The sequence below is a fragment of the Homo sapiens genome, chromosome 15 (assembly GCF_000001405.40).
Source record: "Homo sapiens chromosome 15, GRCh38.p14 Primary Assembly".
Lineage (NCBI taxonomy): Eukaryota > Metazoa > Chordata > Mammalia > Primates > Hominidae > Homo > Homo sapiens.
Genome location: NC_000015.10, coordinates 99,674,238 through 99,693,661, shown reverse-complemented (window position 1 = coordinate 99,693,661; position 19,424 = coordinate 99,674,238). Strand labels below are relative to the sequence as shown.

The following is a 19,424-nucleotide window of genomic DNA, read 5'->3' as shown; positions in this document are numbered from 1 at the left end:
ATATTTTTGGTGGGTAGAGAATTTTGGGGTGAGGAATTTTTAAAAAATTTCAGCACATTAAATAATGTTACTCCCTTTTTCTCGCTTGAATAGTTTAGTTTGTGAAGAAAAAAGTATGTTACTAATCCTTATCTTTGTTTTTCTGTAATGTATCTCTAAGATTTTTCTCTTGATCTTTTGCTTTTAGCAGTCTAGGAGTGAGAGTGTGTGTGCGTGCATACATCTGTGTGTGTGTGTGCATGCGTGCATGTGTGTGTTGGCAGTAGTAATTATCCTACTTGGTACTGGTTATTATTTAAAATATTACTCCTAATCTGTTCTCTCTTCTCTTTTTGGAAGTCCAATTATAAATATGTTATACCATTTGATAATGGTGCATAGCTCTTGGATACTTAATTCTGTTTATTTTGTCTTGTTTTCACTCTTCTTTCTCTTTGTATTTCAGCATGGGTAATTCCTACTAATAGACCTACAGGTTTTTCCCTCCTGCTAAGCTATTAGTGCAAGAATCGAGTTAATTTCATTAGAAGCTGGACTGGGTTTGAGCCTTACTGTTGCTCTGGTTACCATCAGGGCACCTACCACAAGCTTCATATCCCTCTGGGGGTGGGGATCTGCATGCCAGGTTTTCCCCTAGTGCCTGCTCCACTCTCAGCTTTAAGTCATCCCCTCTCTTGTTGTGCCTCAGGCTGTGGCCTTCTCAGTCATCCTGCCACTCTCCTGGCATCGCTCCATACCGAGCATGTCTTCCTGTTCCTTCACCACTGGTTGAGATATTTTGCCTTTTCCATTAAACAGGATTTCAACAGTGCCCTAAGAGTGATAATGTTTGTTGTTCGTCTTCTCAGAGATTAAAGCTTTTGTTTCATATTAGAGAAAGAAGACAAAAAGATCCTGGCAAAACTTTTTGCCCCTAGTGTAGTGGCTACTCTTCCCCTCTCCCAGTTGTGTACCACAGCGAGACCTTTTCAGGAGCTTCTGAGCACCCCATGGGATTCACGGAGTAAAAAAGTATACAAGAGAACACAGACTCACCCTGTGTTATACTGCGGCCCCCAGGAGTTTCACACAGTTCTGTCAGTGTACACCTGGCCTCCAGCAATTCACCAATCACCCTAGCTTAACTCTTACCATCTGTGTCTTGTCTAATGCTCAAATGTCAACTCTCCTTACAGTGTCTTTGACTCTGGAGTATCTGGGCCAGTTGGTTGCCGTGAAATCTCAGCACTATAATGAGTTCAAGGAAAACTATGAACTTTCTGTATATCCAAGTTTTTTTAATTGTGAGGCTGGGAGTGACTGTTTCCAGATTTCTGTATAACCAGATAAAAAAGTACTTGTTTTTTGACCTGGACTGTAAGACTTAGAGATTTGGTCCTAGCTCTATTTTGAACTATCTTGGACAAGTAATAACCTTTAACTCAGTTTCCACATCTCTACCTTGCAATGACACAGGCTAATTGAGAATTAAATGAGACAATATACACATGAAGGTGCTATGGAATCTATAAAGCATTATACCAAAGTGGAATTATTATCTAAGCCTGACAGCATCACTTTCACTTAGCAAAAACTCTAATGGTGAGTTTAGCAACTGCTCAGCAGAGAGAACACCTGGCATATCATTTAGTATGGTAGTAGTCAAACAGTTGCTAAACTAAGAAGTTTTAAAACTTGATTATATATTCTAGTTTTTTTTCTACAGGAAGCTAAGGGCGATAAATAGATTCTCCTGTTCTTTACAAACAGACTTAAGACTCAAAAACAAATGAGACTAGAACCCTAAAGCCGTCATCAAGGAGTGGAATAGAGGCTACCTGCATTCTTTATACAGTTAAATAGGTTATTTGAGAAGGAATAAGCAAATAAAATTAATTGGAGAATAACTCACTCAAGTTTGTGTGCTTTCTTCCCTATCCTACAATAGTTCTGTGGTATGCAGAATTTTTTCTTTTTTTTTTCTTGAGACAGAGTCTTGCTCTGTCACCCAGGCTGGAGTGCAGTGGTGTGATCTCGGCTCACTGCAACCTCCACCTCTTGGGTTCAAACGATTCTCCTGCCTCAGCCTCCTGAGTAGCTGGGATTACAGGCACGCGCCACCACGCCCGGCTAATTTTCGTATTTTTAGTAGAGATGGGGTTTCACCATGTTGGCCAGGCTGGTCTTGAACTCCTGACCTCAGGTGATCCGCCCGCCCTGGCATCCCAAAGTGCTGGGATTACAGGTGTGAGCCACTGTACCCTGCCTGGTATGTAGAATTTTCTAACAAATAGTTTAGTGCTTCTCTCACAGAAAAGCATGTTTAATTGATTAATGAAAGTATACAAAGTACAGAGAATAAATAAGTCATGGTTAATGCTTCTAGCCTGGTAAAATTAAAATTAAACATAATAATCTCTCTGTATTTTACTTTTTAAAAACTCATTCGAGGGGTTTCCTCTTTGTTTGAATCCCCCCTCCCTCTGTCTCTGTTGGAGGGAGCTGTTTTCTCCTTCCTTCCTTCCTTCTTTCTTGGCTACTAAATTTCACTCCTTAAAACGACTCAAAAAAAAAAAAAAAAACCTGATTCGAAAGGTGTTACATATTAATGGGGTACATGTGAATATTTGTTACATTCATAGAATGCGTAATGATCCAGGTCAGGGTGTTTGGGGCATCTATTACCTTGAGTATTTATCCTTTCTATTTGTTGGGAACATTTCAAGTCCTCTTTTCTAGCTACTCTGAAATATACTCCATCTGCAATGTTGCTAACTATAGTCACCCTTCTCTCCTATCAAATACAGGGGTATATTTATTGTATCTAAGTGTATGTTTTTACCCACGAATCAACCGCTCTTCATCCCGTCTCCCACCCACACACCCTTCCCAGCCTCTGCTATCATTCTATTCTCTATCTCCACAAGACCAATTTTTTTAGGTCCCACATGAGTGAGACCTTGCAGTATCTATCTTTCTATGCCTGGCTTATTTCACTTAACACAATAACCTCCAGTTCCAACCACGTTCGTATTTAGCTTTAATTTTAAGTAACTGTTAAGCAAATTTCCATAATCTGATTTTTGTGTATTTGAAATAGACTTGTCTCTTCAAATACTAATTTTGAATGGAAATATTTATTAGGAATAGGTGTAGATTCTACGGTGGCACAGAAAATTCCAAAGGAAGCTACAGATTGACTATGTATAAAATATGTGTTTTAAAGAATGAAGTTGAAGAAAGGTTCAACTTACTAGTGGAGGCATCATGCCCTTGCTTGAAGGGGGGATGACAACTCGAAGATCTGGTTTCCTACTGTTCATTCCAAGATTACCACCACCTGGTGGAGGGGGAGACTTTGTAGGCATGACTTTGCCTAAGCTATTTGCACCAGTAGCTCCAATCAAATTTGGAGAAGCTCTTGAGTTTACAAATCCATTCCCTGGGGGGAAAAATATCATTCAATAAAGTGAGAAGAGTTATTAAAATACTTTGGCACAAACAAATCAAGTTTTCCCCAGTCTGAGTTGCAAATAAATTTTATAACAAAACTCACTACAGGTTTGAGTATCCCTTGTCCGAAATGCTTGGGACCAGAAGTGTTTCTGATTTTGGAATACTTGTATACTTATTGGCTGAGCATCCCTAAACCTGAAAATCCAAAATCCTCCAATTGACACTTCTGAGAATCACGTCAGTGCTCAAAATGTTTCAGATTTTAGAGCATTTTGTATTTGGGATACTCAACCTGTGGTAACTAATGAAGTACCTTGGGATATCTTAAAAATAAGCAAAGGAAGACAAGCAAAGTCTGAAATACATATAAAGCTTAAGACTAATGATACTTGTACAGCATTACTCCTTGGACCTGCTGAAAGAGATTTAACACACAACACATTTCTGGCCAGGTGCAGTGGCTCACGCCTGTAATCCCAGCACTTCGGTATGCCGAGGAGGGTGAATCACTTGAGGTCAGGTGTTTGAGACCAGCTTGGCCAACATGTTGAAACCCCGTCTCTACTAATAATACAAAAATTAGCTGGATGTGGTGGCGCCCGCCTGTGATCCCAGCTACTCAGGAGGCTGAGGCAGGAGAATCACTTGAACCCGGGAGACGGAGGTTGCCGTGAGCTGAGATCATGCCCCTGCACTACAGCGTGGGTGACAGAGTGAAACTGTGTCTCAAAGAAACAAACAAGCAAAAGACCACATTTCTAAGAGGGCATCTCATACTGGGGACTAAAATAATGGAGGTATTATAGAAAAATGTCTGAGACCAGCCTATTCATTCACTCTTGTGAGAGCAAAGGCACTGCTACCACTAAGTTCTGAGTAGTGAACTAGGTATCAGAGCAGCTTCTTAACTGCAGCTTATTCAGCACTCATTTCTAATGCCCCGTTTTCACCACGTACTTCTTCCTTATGGCTCTACTTCTACTGAGTCTGTTTCTTCAGCTTCACTGAGGTCCTTATTAAATATTTCTGATTTATCTCACTTTAATCATCTTATTCCTAAACTTTCCCTAACAGAACCTTCCATCTCCCTTAATGAAATGAGGAAAAATGCACATTGTGATATATGCTCTATGTATATAATACTTTTGGGTACTAGTTGAGATATAAAATACGTATGAAACCATCCTGTTTTCATGAATACTGTAGTCAGTCATTCTACTTCTTCCCATGTATAGCAACCACGTGGACTGGGTGGGGCTGACTCTCTGCAACCCTCCCTCCAGCCCCCAGATGAACTTAGTGATAGGCATTTGACTCAGGTCATTCTCGCTCACCACAGTGACTGGATGTGGTAATGACCAATCAGAACCCGGGTAAAACAACTCTTCCATGATTATCAGGAGGCTCTCACATTCCCTAAACTGTGCCTGAGGAAGCATTTTATTTTTATTTATTTATTTATTTACTTTTCAGACGGAGACTTGCCCTGTTGCCCAGGCTGGAGTGCAGCAGCGCGATCTCGGCTCACTGCAAGCTCCACCTCCTGGGTTCACGCCATTCTCCTGCCTCAGCCTCCTGAGTAGCTGGGACTACAGGCGCCCGCCACCACGCCCGGCTAATTTTTTGTGGTATTACCAGAGACAGGGTTTCACCGTGTTAGCCAGGATGGTCTTGATCTCCTGACCTCATGATCTGCCCGCCTCGGCCTCCCAAAGTGCTGGGATTACAGGCATGAGCCAACGTGTCCGGCCAGCATTTTATTAAGTCATTTTGAGACTCAGAAGAAGGCCAGAATGAGGAAAAAGCTGATACAAAAAGGAGAACAGCAAACAAATGATGTAAAATCCCTGATTAAACCATGCTTGTAGTCTGTACCACTTCTGGATCTTTCGGTTACATGTAAGTTAATACATCCCCTATACAATTTAAGCCTGAGGTAGTTTTCTGTTAGTTGCAACTGATACTATCCTAATAGAAACAGCTATTATTCACCAGCTTGCAGTCCAACAGCAGAGATAATGACAAGTAAAAAGTAGATAAGTAACCAGTGTACAGAAACATATAATGTGCATTTATAAAACAGAGATTACAGTGTGGTATTTCAATTTCAAAGTAAATCACAAATAAAGCAGAGAAGAATAAAAGATAAGTGTTTATTACAAAGCTGGCAAAGAACAAAATATTCAGAATAGTGAACCAGAGGTTCCTGATGAGCCAAACAGGCCTCTTAAGTTCTCTGGGGAGGACTCAGCATTCACATGTCATTAAGACTAGCAACTGCCTAAAATTGGAAATCATAGAAGTACCTTTACTATTTGGAAATTAAAAAAATTCAAATATCTATTATGTATACAGTACTGTGCCCCTGGGAGGGTATATGTAGAGAAACCATAAAAAGCCTACAGGTCTTCAAGTAGCTTTTCATCTAGTTAGCAAGAGCAGGCATATCACATAGGCATGAATATACCAAAATTATACTCACAATATGGGCAAACTAGAGGTAACCACACAAAATTTACAATGAAATAGAAAGCACTGATAACAAATCTATCAGCTTAATTAGGAAAGCCTTTGTGGGATTAACTACTGAGCAGTCTGAAATGAGAGAAGAACAGAAGAAAAGAGAAGGCAGGCATTATGGATAAATGTGAGAAAAACACGTTAAAGCACGAATGAACAAGGTGTGAGTGAGGAATGGCAGAGCAGATAAGCCTGGATAATCCACAGCTTCAGGGACCATCAGAAGGAAAAAGTAGCTGTATTTGTTCTGCTCCTTTCATTCTAGTATAAAGCCAAAAAGAAAACTTCAGAATTCACGAAAAATAAGCAGACACTAGGTGTTACAAATACACACACACACCCACACACCCCTGTATTAATACACGTGCAAGGACTAACAAAAACTGAGTGTCTGCTGTGTGCTTAACACTGGTCTAAAATTCGTCCTAATAATCTCATCCTGACAAGACTGCATTCTGAGACGTAAAATGGTTTGCCTCTGGGTCAGATGTGGTAGCTGATGCCTGTAATCCCAGAACTTTGGGAGGCTGAGGTGGGCAGATCGCTTGAGCCCAGTTCAAAACCAGCCTGGGCAACATGGTGAAACCCCGTCTCTACAAAAAAAAAAAAAAAAAAAAAAAAAGAAAAATTAATAGGACATGGTGGTGTGCACCTGTAGTCCCAGAAACTAAGGAGGCTGAGGTGAGCCCAGGAGGCAGAGGTTGCAGTGAGCCAAGACCACGCCACCACATTCCAGCCTAGGTGACAGAATTAATCCAATCGAACAAAGACAAATTAAAAAAAAAATCAAAAAACAAAAATGAACAAAGCCTCCAAAAAATTTGAGATTACGCTAAACAGCCAAACCTAAGAATAAGTGGTGTTCTTGAGGAAGAAGAGAAATCTAAAAGTCTGGAAAACATATTTGAGAAAATAATTGAGGAAAACTTCCCTGGCCTCACTAGAGATCTAGAAATCCAAATACAAAAAGCTCAAAGACCTGGGAAATTCATTGCAAAAAGATTGTCACCCAGGCACACAGTAATCAGATTATCTAAAGTGAAGACAAAGGGAAGAATCTTAAGAGCTGAGAGGCAAAAGCATCAGGTAACCAACAAAGGAAAACTTAACAGATTAACAGCAGATTTCTCTCCAGAAACCCTACAAGCCAGAAGAGATTGGGGTCCTATCTTTAGCTTCCTCAAACAAAATAATTGCCGGTCAAGAGTTCTGTACCCAGCAAAACTAACCTTCATGAATGAAGAAGAGAGAGTCTTTTTCAGACAAACAAATGCTGAGAGAATTCACCACTACTAAGCCAGCACAACCAAGAAATGCTAAAAGGAGTTCTAAATCTTGAAACAAAACCTGAAAATACACCCTCCTTAAATCATAAATCTCACAGGGCCCATAAAACAACAGCACAATGAAAAAAAAAGTATTCAGGCAACAACTAACACAATGATTAATAAAATAGTACCTCACATCTCAATATTAACGTTGAATATAAATGGCCTAAATGTTCCACTTAAAATATACAGAATGGCAGAATGGTTAAAAATCCACCAAGTATCTGCTGTCTTCAACACACTCACCTAACATGTAAGGACTCACATAAAGTAAAGGGGTGGAAAAATATACTAGAAAATCTAGAGGAGATGGATAAATTCCTGGAAATATACAACCCGCCTAGGTTAAATGAGGAAGAAATAAAAACTCTGCATGGACCAATAACAAGCAGCGAGACTGAAACAGTAATTTTAAAAACTGCTAATAAAAAAAAAGTCCAAGACCAGATGAATTCAGAGCCGAATTCTATCAAGCATTCAAAGAAGAACTAGTACCAATCTTATTTTACCATTCCAAATGACAGAGTAAGAAAGAATCCTTCCTAAATCATTCTATGAAGCCAGTATCACCCTAATACCAAAACCAGGAAAGGATATAACAAAAGTAAACTACAGACCAATACCCATGATGAGCACAGGTGCAGAAATCCTCAACAAAATAACAGGTGACCGAATCCAACAGCATATCAAAAGATAATACACCATGATCAAGTGGGTTTCATACTAGGGATGCAGGGATGGTTTAACATACACAAGTCAATAAGCAAAACTGGCACAGAAGGGGCATATCTTAAAGTAATAAAAGCCATCTATGACATCTTTACTGGATTCAGTAAAGTTTCAGGACACAAAATCAACAGCACTGCTATACACCAACAATGACCAAGCTGAGAATCAAATCAAGAACTCAACGCTTTTTGCAACAGGTGCAAAAAAAAAAAATACTTAGGAACATAACTAACCAAGGAGGTGAAAAATTTCTACAAGGAAAACTATGAACCACTGCTGAAAGAAATCACAGATGACACAAACAAATGGAAACACATCTCATGCTCACGGATGGGTAGAATAAATATTGTGAAAATGGCCATACTGCCAAAAGCAATCTACAAATTCAATGCAATTCCCATCAAAATACCACCATCATTCTTCACAGAACTAGGGGGGAAAAAAATCCTAAAATTCCTATGGAACCAAAAGAGCCTGCATAGCCAAAGCAAGACTAAGCAAAAAGAACAAATCTGGAGGCATCACATTATTTCCATTTCAAACTATACTACAAGACTATAGTTACCAGAAAAGCAAGGTACTGGCATAAATACAGGCACACAGACCAATGGAACAGAATAGAAAACCCAGAAGTAAAGCCAAATACTTACAGCCAACTGATCTTCAACAAAGCAAACAAAAACATAAAGTAGGGAAAAGACACCCTATTCAGCAAATGGTGCTGGCATAATAGGCAAGCCACATGTAGAAGAAAGAAACTGGATCCTCATTTCTCATCTTACACAAAAATCAATTCAAGATGAATCAAAGACTTAAATATAAGACCTGAAATCACAAAAATTCTAGAACACTGGAAAAACTCTTCTAGACATTGGCTTAGACAAAGGGTTCATGATCAAGAACCCAAAAGCAAATATGACAAAGACAAAAATAAATAGATGGGACCTAATTAAACTAAAAACCTTCTGCACAGCAAAAGAAATAATCAGCAGACAACCCAGAGAGTGGGAGAAAATCTTCGCAAACTATGCATCTGACAAAGGACTAATATCCAGAATCTACAAGGAACTCAAATCAGCAAGAAAAAAACAATCCCATCAAAAAGTGGGCAAAGGCCATGAATAGACAATTCTCAAAAGCAGATACACAAATTGCCAAAAGACATACGAAAAATGCTCAACATCACTAATTATCAGTGAAATGCAAATCAAAATCACAATGAGATACCACCTTACTCCTGCAAGAATAGCTATATTTAAAAAATCAAAAAATAATAGATGTTGGCATGGATATGGTGAAAAGCAAACACTCATACACTGCTGGTGGGAATGTACACTAGTATAACCACTAAAGAAAACAGTACAGAGATTGCTTAAAGAACTAAAAGTAGAACTATGGTTTGATCTAGCAATCCCACTACTGGGTCAGAGGAAAAGAAGTCAGTATATGAAAGACACTTGCGCACACATGTTTATAGCAGCACATTTTGCAATTGCGAAAATATGGAACCAGCCCAAATGCCCATCAACCAACAAGTGGATACAGAAAACGTAATATATATATATACATATATGTACACCATGGAATACTACTAAGCCATAAAAGGGAACAAAATAATGGCATTTGCAGCAACCTGGATGGAACTGGAGACCATTATTCTAAGAGAAGTAACTCAGGAATGGAAAACCAAACATCACATGTTTTCACTTATAAGTGGGAGCTAAGCTATGAGGATGCAACGGCATAAGAATGATACAATGGACTTTGGGGACTCAAGGAGGAAGGCTGGGAGGGAGTGAGGCATAAAAGACTACATATTGGGTACAGGGTACACTGCTCTGGTGAACTCCAAAATCACCACTAAAGAATTTTTCCATGCAACAAAACACCACTTGTTCCCCCAAAACTATTGAAATAATTTTTTTTTTTTTTTTTTTTAATAAAAGGCCCAGGCATGGTGGCTCGCAAGTATAATCCCAGCACTTTGGGAGGCCGAGATGGGTAGATCACCTGAGGTCAGGAGTTGGAGACCAGCCTGGCCAACATGGCGAAACCCCACTAAAAAAAAATGCTAAATTAGCAGGGCATGGTGGTGCATGTCTGTAATCCTGGCTACTAGGGAGGCTGACGCAGAAGAATTGCCTGAGCCGCAGAGGTGGAGGCTGCAGTGAGCCGAGATCGTGCCACTGTAGTCCAGCCTGGGCAACAGAGTGAGATCCTGTCTCAAACAAACAAAAGAATTTCTGAGTTCCAGATGATTAGTGTGGTTTTTTCTTCCTTACCCTCACCCAATTCCTCTTGTTTCCTCCAAAACGTTTACCAAGTGACCCACTCAGTTTTAATTCATATGTATGATCTAATTTTGCTGTGGGGACTGGTATTTCAGTTAACCTCATGAGGTTATTTCCTGCATTCTGCTTTCATTATCTTGAAGGGGTATGAATTAAATCCTTTCCACACCCCATAGAGTAATTTCCTGCATCCTGTTAAGCTTCAGAAAGCAGTGCAGTTTAAAAAACAACCACTTCACCAGGCCATCCTGTCGAGTAGAGATCATATATGACTTGGACAGAGGTAACCGCTAAGCCAGACAGTTGAAGAATTAAAAATGTTTATTAAATAATTTTATTCAAAAATAGGAAGGTTAAATAGAAACTTCATTTTGCGTTAACAGTATGAGAATGTCAGATTAATAATTTTTTAAATATACAATGGCATGAATATGTGTTCTGATTCTGATATTATTTAGAAGATTCTTCTTTACTTGATTTATACTCAAATCTGAAGAAGAAAGTAGAATTTCCTCTCAAAGACAAAAATATATAATTCAGAGCCACACATCATCAAGAAGCACAAATACTATTTTCCCATGTGCAGTCTATGGTGCTTTAGATAGATATGACATGATGGTAACTCATGAGAACCAAATTTCAAGAGTAAGAGGGGACTTAAAAGCACAGTATTTCTTGATGTAAAGTCAGGAGTCAGTAGCAGATGATGATTAAAGGATGATGTAAGTGTTTGGTAACTTGCCAGGCTGAAGCTAAGAGAATCTCCTATGCACGACTTGTTATTTTGTAGAGTGCAGTGATATATACCCTAATATGTACCTTCTTACCTCCAGCTCAATTTTTATTACAAAAATGAAGATATTTTTCAGATAGACTTTTGAGGTAAATACTTTCAGTATATAACTCATCTTGCCACAGTTTACAAACCTAGGAACTACAGTATCTACACTAAATGAATAAATCCAATTTAATGTTGTTAAAATGTGTTTCCAGTTTTCAAGGTAATTTACTATCCTAACACAAATGTGAAAAAATGCTCTTGAGCAAACCGCATACCCATGCCTTCAGAAACTTAACAGAACTTGATCTCAATTACAGTCCTATAGCTGTAAGATAGGTCAGTCAATTCCATCAGTCTGGCTCATATTTCAAAATATAAATCACATCAGCTGAAATAATGCATTCAAGTAGCTGGCAAGTACTCTGTGTCCTTAGATACTACTCTTCTAGGGTTAAACTGCAGACAATGATGTCACTAATATTTCACTATGAATTCATTTCAGAAGTCCAACTGATGTGCAAACTTCAAAGGATTCTGAAAAACTCATCCAAAGCAAAGTTCAATCATATTTGGCAAAATTTTCATAAAATTTGACATTCAGCTGATTATTCAATAAACAAAAATACATTCTAACAGTTATAAAATTATGTCATTTGTACAAAGAACTGTTTGAGGTTTCTGAAAGTAGAAAAGATTACAGGGCTGGTTCGAAGGCAGTGAGTTATCTCAACTTATCCAACTCCTTGTTCTACTCTTTACCCCCTTCTCACTACTGCACCTGACTAGTCTAAAATAAAATAAAATAATAAAGATCACAGGTTTTGAAATAATTGAATGCATGTGTACTTGATTCAATGAAATGTCTTGTAAGATGGACAACATGGATCCTGTCCAATAAAAATTTATAACAAAAATAGGCAATGCTCATGGGGTCTGCTTCTTTTCTTTCTGAATACTGTATTCCCCATCTCTATCCCATGTGGGCAGCCCCCAAAAGGCAACATATCTTCTTCTCTTTCAGAAACTTCAGCATCTTCATGAAGCATGAATGCTGAAGCATATACAACTTCAACTATCACCTCCATGTGAATGACTGAAAACTGGGTTTCTGCTTTATCTTTCCTAATTTCCAGTACATATTCAATAATCTGGTGGCCACTTTCACCCAGACATGCTGCTGTCATCTCAACTCAGCTTGTTCTAAAGACTTCAACTACTGCTGTCCTCCGCCATCCCATCCCCACCTTCAGAGCAATCAAGCTTTCTTCATGATATCTTTCACCTCTTCCATCTCTTCTTTTTAACTGCCAATGTGCCTGCTACAATGCAAACCCTTATTTTACCTTCATTTAACCCCAAATAATTCCAAGAGCATCTTGAGCCTTTCTATGTCTAGTACCATATATGTTTTTTCTCTTTCTCAACGTGTTTTTAAAAAGTGAAGTTGTTGGATATCTGACTTTATTTTATGCTTGATATTTTAAAGTGTGCCCAAAGTAAAAAGTCCCCAAAGTCATTTGAACTATAGTATAAACCCAGTATTAAACTCCCCATAGAGAAATATACCTAGTAAATCATAAACAAATAAGCAAATTACCTCTATGAAAGATCTATACAAATTACAATATGTACAAAGCTGCCAAGTTTTATTTGCACAGATGACAATGGAAAACAAGTTATAAGTAATAAATAAAGAAATATTCTAATTTACTACAATAAAGATGTTATGACTGTAGAGGTAACTGTATTAATACAGCATCACTGAAACTAGAAAAAGAGTGAAAAACACAGTCCCACCATCTTAAGTATTATAATCTCTTTGGATTTTTCCCTTTTTGTTTTCCATGCTCATATTTTTTGCTCGTTTTAAATCACAACTAAAAAGAAATTCAGTTGAAATTTCATTTACTTCATTTTCATATTGTTGAATATGTTGATTTCTTCCTATTATTCATTACTACAAATAAAGTTGCAATGAAGCTTTGCTTATTCTAACTTACCTCTTCAGGAGAGATTCCCAAAAATGGGATTAGTGGGCTTGGAGGTATAAACATTTTTATGACAACTAAAACCTCTTGCCAAAACCTTTCCAGAAAGATTGTTACTAATTTACAATGCCACAAAAGCATGCATGAGATCATCAGTTTCACCATGCCTTCATTAGCACTGAATATCACAATAAAAAGTGCTAATAGTTGGGAATTAGTAAGTAAGAGTAGTATTTTTTTTTGTCATTTTAATTTGAATTTCATGAATACTACCAATGATGAACAACCTTTTCAGTTTTTAAAATACTAGTTAGGTTTCTTTTTTGAATTGTGTATTTTGGTACAATTAAATGCCCATTACTAAACATTCCCCTATCTGTTGCTTGGATTTTATCTTGCTTTTTTCCTCTGGAGAATGAGCAACACGTATTATCTCACATAAAAAGACTAGGGGAAGAGTGGTCCCAGACTCAGCTGCTTCAGCAGCTCAACACTGAGGGCCACCAGCTTTTCACTTCATCAACCTTGGCATTTTGACCTGTCATCTTAAACTGACTTGTCTCATGATCTTAAGATGGGTGCTGAGTTCCAGCTGCCACATGCAGACAACAATGTCCAAAGACTCAAAGGCTACCTCTAGTTTGTGCATGAATGTGAGTGTTGAGTGTCTATACATTTTCTCTCTGAATTTTGGAATAGTATAAATACCACAAAATGTACATTATTTTCTCTTATAATTTAAAAAGTGCCTTTATATTTGTTGTTATAGTTCCTTTATTATTATATCTAGTGTATTCTTTTATTTTCAAAACTGTTTTCTTGCTAATGTAACACATAAACAGAAAATGTACAAAACAAAAACGTATAGGTTAAGGATTTATCATAAAGTGAAGATCCACGTAACCACCATTCAGATTAAGAATACTGCCAGAACCCCAGAAGTTTCCATAATTGGGCCCCCTAAAATATTCCGAGAGTCCCACCTACCCAAAGTAACCACTATTGTGAATTTTACAGTAATTTCTTGGTTTTTCTTTATGGCTCTGCCATCTATCTACACAAGCATCCCAAACACTATAGTTTTTTTGGCCTGCTTTTCAAACTTTATATAGTTAGAATCTTGAGTATGTATCTATCTTCTTTAATTCATAATGTTTGGTGACATTCATCCATGTTGAGAACTGCTGTGATTTCATTTTCACTGCAGTATAATATTCTTTCATATGAATGTACTCTTATATTTATCCATTCTACTGTTGACAGAGATCTGTACTATTTCTAGACAATGACTTTAACATAATGTTGTACACATTCTTTTACATATCTCTTGGTACTCGTGATGCACAAATGCATTTCTCTACAGTACATAAGGATGAGTGAAAATGCTGGGTCACACAATACACGTATCTGCAGCTTAGGCAGATAATGCCAAATGGTTGCAACAACTTGTACTCCCATTACCAGTGTATGAGTTTGTGCTTTTTCATAGCTTTGTCAATATTTGGTATACCATCTATTTCATCTTAGCAATTCTGGTGGGTGTGCAGTGTTCTCTCTTTGTGGTTTAATTTTGCATTTCCATGACTACTGAGACTGAGCATTTCTTCACATTTATCAGACATTTCTTTTGTGAAGTGATGTGTTCTCATGCACATTTTCAAAAGTCGAGTTTTCTTTTTCTTACTGATTTGTAGGTATTCTTAAAAAAAAACCTCTCTATTGATTGTATACATACTATATATATTCTCCCATTCTGTCTTGCCTTTTTACTCTCTTTACAGTGCTTTTGATTCACAAAGTTTCCAATTTTCACACAAGCAAATCAATCAGTCTTTCCATTAGACTTTCTTTGGTTTCTTATTTAAGAAGTCTTTGCCTTTCCTGAGTTCGTTCAGTGCTTTAAAAGTCTCAAGGATGCCTCTTCTTTTAGCAGTACATGGGCCTGAAGTATTCCAATTTTAGGGAAGCAGGCAGAAGATGCAACAAAAATTAAAATACGAACAAGGCAAATGGAAGACTCGCCTATAAACAAATTACGTATTTGAAAATGACAATATTGGTAAAAATGATATGGTTTAAAGGTAACGCAAAACTATCTGGAACTGACCTATCACGAGTTTCTAAACTGGAGCTGATACAGTAAGTTATGACATATATACAGATAAAACGTATTTAAAACAAGTAGAATTTGCAATCCATGCTTATAATACAGAATAAACATTCCTTTCCAGTACACAACACAGACAAAAATTGAGCACATGCTGGCCTATAAAAAAGTATCAGCAAATTTCAGAGAACTTAATCATATAGAGGTAAGTTCTCTGGTAACAAAACAATCTGGCTAGAAAATAATATCTCAAAGATAACTGGAAAATCTCCATGTATTTGAAATTAAGAAATATAATTCTAAATAACTTACAAGTTGGGTTAAAGAAAAAGATATAATGGAAATTAGAAAATATTTCGAATTGAATATTAGTGAAAACATTCCATTTTATTAGTCTTTTAAATAATCAGTATTTGTTTTGTTAATTCAATTTGTTTTTCTATTTCAGTATCAATACTTGTATTTTTATGACCACTGAAACATCTTGCCAAAACCTTTCCAGAAAGATTGTTACTGATTTACAATACCACAAAAGCACGTATGAGATCATCTGTTTCACCATGCCTGAAATAGAAAATTTTCTATTTTCTATTTCAATGCTTGTATCTTTGTTATTTGGTTCTACCTACTTTATGTTTAATTTGCTGTCCTTTTCTGACTTCCTGAGAAGGAGGTTTAGCTCACCATCTCCAGTCTTTTGTTCATAAAGGTTTAAATTTCTCATAAAGCACAGCATTATCTGTATTCCACGTTGAGTTTTATAGGCCTTCCCAATTTGTGGCTTTTTTGTTGTTGTTAGTTTTGGAAAATTCTCAGTGATTATCTCTTCAAATACTGCTTCTGCCCAATTTTCTCTGACTTTGCTTCCTGGGACTTCAATTTAACGTATGCTAGTCCTTTTTATTGCATGCTCTGGGTCTTCTTTTTAATTTTCCATCCCTTTGTGTCTCCAAAATTCTGGATAATTTTCTTCTATCTTATCTTTTAGTTTCTTAATTCTTGTATTTGCTTTGTCCAATCTGTTTTTAAGCCCATCTGTTAAGTTCTTAACATTACGGGGTTTTTTTGTTCTAAAATTTCCATTTTTTAAATAAATTTCAGTTCTCTGCTAAAATTCTCAATCTTTTTGTTTTTTAAATACCCTTGAACACAGTAAACACTGTTATATTAAAGTCAAAGTCTGTGCCTAGTAACTCCAAATTCTGGAGTTCCCAGGAGGCTGATTCCATTGTTTGTTTATTTCTGCAAGTTTTCATTTGCTTTATTTGTGTGTGTGCCTAGTTCAGCTTATGTGCCAAGTTAGAAATAATAAGGTCTGAGATGGTGTTTTATTTTATTTATTTATTTATTTATTTATTTTTGAGACAGCGTTTTGCTCTTGTCGCACAGGCTGGAGTGCAGTGGCATGATCTCGGCTCACTGCAACCTCCGCCTCCTGGGATCAAGTGATGCTCCTGCCTCAGCCTCCTGAGTAGCTGGGATTACAGGCACTTGCCACCACGTCCGGCTAATTTTTGTATTTTTAGTAGAGATGGGGTTTTGCCATGTGGGCCAGGCTTATTTTATTCTTCCAGAGACTATTTGCTTTTCCGGGCATTCTGGAACCCCTAAATCTAATTTCTAATCACTACGATCTAATTTTAACAAACTTTTGGGAGGTCAAGGCAGGCAGATCACCAGGTCGGGAGATTGAGACCATCCTGGCTAACACGGTGAAACTCCGTCTCTACTAAAAATACAAAAAAATTAGCCCGGCGTGGTGGCGGGCACCTGTAGTCCCAGCTACTCGGGAGGCTGAGGCAGAATGGCGTGAACCCGGGAGGTGAAGTTTGCAGTGAGCGGAGATGGCGCCACTGCACTCCAGCCTGGGCGACAAGAGCGAGACTCCGTCTCAAAAAAAAAAAAACAAAACTGTATGATGCATCTGTAAGATGTCACTACTGAGAAGAACTGTTTATCTCTGGTTTACTTTACTTCTAGAGTCCAGCCTTTTGGGGTGTCAACCCAATGTGAGAGAAGCATATTAGGCTCTCACAATTCTTGGTGGGCCCTGAACTTATTATTCTGTTGGGGGAATAAAAAAAAAAAGGGACACAAAAACAGTATGTAGGCATACAAACAACTAAAACAAGAGCTGAAAAAAAACCATAAATATTTGGAAATACACATACAAGAGTAGCAGCCCTAGTGTTTAACTGGTACAACCTTTATGTATTTTCCCACATTTAATTGTTTTCTGTTAAGTAAGACTCCACAATAGGTCTTATCTGTTTAATTCCATTAAAATATTTAATACTGTGGCAGATATAATTAGGCATTTATTCCTACTTTGTCATTAAATATTTTGTAACTTGTCTTAATAATATCTTTATTGATGTTTGTTTATTTCTTCCTCATCATTTTTATTAAGTCATTCAATCATCTCCATAATTTTTTTTTTTTTGAGAAGGAGTCTCACTCTATCGCCCAGGCTGGAGTGCAGTGATGCGATCTCAGCTCACTGCAACCACCGCCTCCCGGATTCAAGCAATTCTCCTCCCTCGGCCTCCCGAATAGCTGGGACTACAGGTGCACACTGCCACGCCCAGCTAAATTTTTTTGTATTTTAGTAGAGACAGGGTTTCACAGTGTTGCCCAGGCTGGTCACAAACTCTTCAGCTCAGGCAATCTGCCCACCTCGTCCTCCCAAAGTGCTGGGATTACAGGTGTGAGCCACGACGCCCGGCCAAGACAAATATGTTAATTATCTTTCTATCTGTAGAAGTAGATAGACCCACCATTTCTTTTCATTCTAGTCTCTCTGAAAACATTTCATGCTGTTGTAAGATAGAGTAGTTTGGTAACAGTCTAACTTTGGTAAGCAGGGAAGTTAGAGAAAGTCTCCCCTTAAGAAATTATCTTGATGTATTAGTGAAAGTACCCTTCAGAAGGAAATTTCCCAGAAAGCTTTATTTCAGGAACAACATTCCTTTGATCTCATATAGGATAGATACCTACAAAACAGAAGAGTAGGAATTCACTCACCCACTGGACTGCTTCCAGCTCCATTTGGCACTGTGAGGTCTGTAGTGCTCAACATCCCACCTAACAACGTTACGGAGAGAAGACAGAGGGCAGAGAATGAATATGAATTAGCTCTCTTTACCTAACTGAACGTGAACTGAATAGAGATAACTCTCACTCTAATCCTAAAAAGACACAAAAATAAAAACTAGCTCAGTCTGAAGTTGGCATTAACATGTAATCTGATGTAGTTATTATATCTCATATATATGAGTTTACCTTTCAAGCTTGATGTCGCCTTCAATACCAAATAGTGGTATTGCATCAATACCAAAATAGTACATACTGATAAAAACGGGGGCAGTGTGTAAGGAGTATGATTAAATCACTAAATTAAATCTAGGACTTAAGAGAGAGGAGACACTGCATTTCATAGACTAATACAATAAATGTAACATAAATTTTGCTGAATTAATGAAGTAATTCAGGCAGGAGGAGATGTAAAAGATACTCTAACTCCAATCAGGTAGTCTATCACCCATATTTCTAACATGAATGGCTCACACTCTACTTTAAATCCTTGCTTCTGATATCTAACTAAATTTTCTGCCTGTCAAAGTATGGCTTTCCCATGAGAAGGAAAGCATATAAATGGCAGGTTCTCAGTACTGTTCTACTTTGCATGACACAATGCTACACCCACAATTGATTTTCAAAAAAATACTTTAAAATGAGGCCAATTATGTATCAGTGATTCTTGCTCATCAAAGCAATAAAAGAATAGCAAAATAAGAAACTGCTTATGTTAGCAATGAATTTTTTCACCCTCTTTATTAAAGAACCAGCATAATAGGTATCACTACATACCTGCATTGCCAGTACTTGGTGGTCTCTGAGGAGCTCCAGGAGACACATTTCTATGTAATGTGGTTTGAGGTGGAGAGAGCATGCTTGAATCTGTTAACGTTGAGCTGGCTGCCAAAGATGGGGACACCAGTGAACTCCCTGGGTTAGTGTAGGACAAAGCATTGGGGCTGGTCACTGGAACTGTGACAGACATTGAAAAGTTCTGAGGTGGCAGACCAGGCTGTAAATAAAGAAAAAGAAGGAAAAAACTGTTGGTTTCGTATTCATCTACAAAGTAACTTTTGAACTTTAATTTGGCAAGGTAACTCAAGTTACTAAAAGTAGAGGATAGGGATAGGTTCTTAACCAATTTACAGATTAAAGCTATTTTCTTTA

General features: G+C 37.7%; 1 protein-coding gene across 82 annotated transcripts in view; it reads right to left on the bottom strand.

Moving 5' to 3' along the window:
- MEF2A (myocyte enhancer factor 2A) overlaps positions 1–19,424 on the bottom strand; it is a 151,072-nt gene that overhangs the window by 22,827 nt on the left and 108,821 nt on the right. For 76 of the 82 annotated variants that reach the window (NM_001400049.1, NM_001400057.1, NM_001400064.1 and 73 more), the window contains 3 exons: positions 19,050–19,269; positions 18,204–18,263; positions 3,234–3,421 (listed from right to left, as the gene is read on the bottom strand). The exons of 1 other annotated variant lie outside the window; for it this stretch is intronic. In NM_001400049.1, coding sequence (NP_001386978.1) covers positions 3,234–3,421; positions 18,204–18,263; positions 19,050–19,269 — 468 coding nt within the window. Of the gene's footprint in view, positions 1–3,233; positions 3,422–12,711; positions 15,015–18,203; positions 18,264–19,049; positions 19,270–19,424 lie in introns of those variants that run through there. 5 more of the 82 variants (NM_001400071.1, NM_001365211.2, NM_001365210.2 and 2 more) reach the window with 2 other exon arrangements.